This window comes from Homo sapiens, chromosome 20 (assembly GCF_000001405.40).
Source record: "Homo sapiens chromosome 20, GRCh38.p14 Primary Assembly".
Classification (NCBI taxonomy): domain Eukaryota; kingdom Metazoa; phylum Chordata; class Mammalia; order Primates; family Hominidae; genus Homo; species Homo sapiens.
This window is the reverse complement of record NC_000020.11, coordinates 39,817,627-39,821,239: the sequence shown is the minus strand read 5'-3', so window position 1 is coordinate 39,821,239 and position 3,613 is coordinate 39,817,627.

The following is a 3,613-nucleotide window of genomic DNA, read 5'->3' as shown; positions in this document are numbered from 1 at the left end:
ACTTTCTCTATCGCCCATGCTGGAGTGCAGTGGCATGATCACTGCTCAGTGCAGCCTTGAACTCCGGGGCTCAAGCAATCCTCTCACCTCAGCCTCCTGAGTAGTTGGGACTACAGGCACACACACACTTATGCCCAGCTAGTTTTTATTTTTATTTTTGTAGAGACAGAGTCTTGCTATGTTGCCCAGGCTGGTCTTGAACTTGTGGGCTCAAGCGATCCTCCCAAAGTGCTGGGATTACAGGCATGAGCCATCACACTCTGCCTGGCAGTGGATTTTTAACCACAGATCAGAGAGAACTGGCTAAGCAAACAGAGAAGAAGTTAGCTTTTTATGTCTCACTATAAAAGAATATAAATTATGTATATCTTAAAAAGTTAAATTTTAAAGTGAAACTATAAAAACATCTTGGGCTAGAAAAGACATTATTAAGTCTTTCACAAAAGCTGGAAAACATAATGACTAAAACTGACACGTAAATATTTGAAGTCTCTTAAAATTAGCAACTAAACATAAAATAATTTTTTTTTGAGACAAGGTTTCACTCTGTAACCAAGGCTGGAGTGCAGTGCTGTGATCACAGCTCACTGCAGTCTTGACCTCCTTGGTTCAGGTGATTCTCCCACCTCAGCCCCCTAGGTAGCTGCTGGCACTACACATGCACACTGCAATGCCCCAATGCACAGCTTTTTTTTTTTTTTTTTTTTTTTTTTGGAGAAACAGGGTTTTGCTATGTTGCCCAGGCTGGTCTGGAATTCTTAGGCTCAAGCAAGTCTCCCACCTCAGCTTCCCAAAGTGCTGGGATTACAGGCGTGAGCCACCATGCATGGCTGCACAAAATTTTTTTTCAAATGGAGAAAGTATCAGCCGTATATGTGAAAAATAAGTGTTTATTATCTTCAATATAAAAAGAGATCTTATAAATCAACTATAAAAATATAAAGAAATGGGCAAAGACTTGCAAAATAATAAGATTATGAAAACATATTCATTTTGATTGGTAACAAAATGAATGCAAATTAAAATAGATTATACATTTTCTATCCAACTGATAAAGTTTTTATTATTTTATATTTAGTTATTTATTTATTTTGAGATGGAGTCTTGCCCTGTCTCCAGGCTGGAGTGCAACGGTGCGATCTCAGCTCACCGCAACCTCCGCCTCCTGGGTTCAAGCGATTTTCCTGCCTCAGCCTCCCAAGTGCGCCACCAGGCCCAGCTAATTTTTGTATTTTTAGTAGAGATGGGGTTTCACCATTTTGGCCAGGATGATCTCGATCTCTTGACCTCGTGATCCGCTCGCCTTGGCCTCCCAAAGTACTGGAATTACAGGCGTGAGCCACCGCACCTGGCCTAGTTTTTATTTTTATTTGTTTTACATAATACTTACTAGTGCTGGCATGTGGTGGGTACCCTTTTACTAGCATAGTCTTTCTGAAGGACAGTGTTACAAAAGCTATCAAAAGTGTTAAAAATAAGACTGCAGTGTCACCAGTTAGAATTTATTTAAAGTACATCATTAAGGATATGAACATAAAAGTATATACAAGGATGTTTATCTTAGCATTGTTTATACTAGCAAAACATTTCTATAAAAGGAAATAACCTACTGTTCAATAACAGGTCAAATTAAGCAATGGATATCTATACTGTGCAACATTGTCCAGTCAATTAAAATTGATTTGGTTGATAAATATGTATTGACATGGAAAGATAGATATTAAAGTTTACAAGTATGTTTTAAAATGTTATGTGTATTCCAATACCAATTTTGTTAAAATTTATACATACACATATACATATCTGCTCTAGAGATATAGCAATTATCCAGAGTGGTAAAATATAGACTCTCTTTTTCATTTATTGTATATCTGTATTTTCATTTACTCTTTCATTTTTTCTATCTGTTATTCTTTCTGCTAAATATTAAACACATAGTATACAATAAAATGCATAATTTTTATGTAAGTTATTAAGTTAGGAAGCCATTCAACTTAAATGCAGTGAATGTGATGTTCAGGTGATGAAAGTCTGGATGAGGAAGAGGTAGAAAAGAGAGATGGAGAAGTGAGTAGTCGAATAAAAGCTCACAGAGGGCTGGGGTCTGGTGGGTAGGACTAGAGCAGGATGGCTATTAGAAGACCTGGGCTCTGGCTGACCAGGCAGGAGAACTGGGTGTAGCACACAGTGTGCGGGGGATGGGGACTGGGATTGGGAGGGGCTTAACACAATCTCTATATCAGTGAATGGGTGAATGAGTGATTAGATGGTTGCATGATAGAAAGCCCAAGAACTTTAGTTCCTGCAAAATAGGGATACTACCTCTTCTTCTTTTTCAAAAGGTTTCTGTAAGCATTCAAATATATTCTGAATATAAGGTGCTTGCAAGTTTTAAGGGTATAATTAGACATGAGGGATTACTGGTTGGTATCCTTCACTATTGCAGACTGTTTTGGGAATAATTAAGGGTGATGTTTTCAGAGTAGAAGACCTCTATAGAGGAGGAACTCTGGCTAAACAGAGGTTCCCTTCTTTTTTTTCCCCTGTAGGTTCTCACATAATATTTGGTAACACTTATGTAGGCCTTAACCCAGCATAATTCTAAGCACTTCTATATATATTAACTTATTTATTTACACAAAAAATTGTGATATAGTACAGTTATTTGATAAAGATCTAGTGGCTATTATGGGGCAGAACAGGGTTTGAACATGGGCATTTTGGCCCTTAAACTAATGCTTTAACCACTATTATTCCATGTCACATGTTGAGTCCCAAATGCAATAGGACAGGTGGATGGAGGATGAAAGACAAGAGGATTAGGTAGGAGGAAAGAGGATGAATGTAATAAAAGCTTCGTCCTGTATAAATGACATGCCATAGTGAGGAGACATTTAAAAGGGGAAAAATCATTTCCATTTAACTTGTCAAGCATTTATTGGGCCCCTTCTCTGGCAAGGAACAGAGCCATAGGGGGTTAAGCAGAGTGAGAGGCTCTCCCCTCTGTTCCCAATGAGCTAATAGGGAGAAGCAGTTCCTAGCAGCCAAATTTGCTCCAATAATCAGGGAAGATTCTGTTTAAAGAATATTTTCTCTGTCATAAATTCACAAATAATTTCCTCTGCCTGGCTCAGAAATGTGGAACTTGACATTGCCAGGAGAAAGAGGTGAACTCTCAGGGCCTGAGGCATCCCTGAAGGCAGGGGCCTGGCTGCCAGTGGAAGCTTTCCTCTATAGAAACTGTAGATTTGGATCTTGACGTCTGAGTGTCACCAGCCAAGATGCCTATTCTTGGTCCTCCTACCTCTGTGGCTTCAGTGCTCTGGTGGGTACTTAAGCATTCATTGCTTATTGAACTTGCCCACTGATATGGTTTGGCTGTGTCCCCACCCAAATCTCATCTTAAATTGTAGCTCCCATAATTCCCATGTGTCATGGGAAGGACCCAGTGGGAGGTAATTGAATCATGGGGGTGGCTCTTTCCCACACCATTCTTGTGATAGTCAATAAGTCTCATGAGATCCAATGGTTTTATAAAGGGGAGTTCCCCTGCACATGGCCTCTTGCCTGCTGCCATGTAAGACATGACTTTGCTCCTCATTTGCCTTCCGCC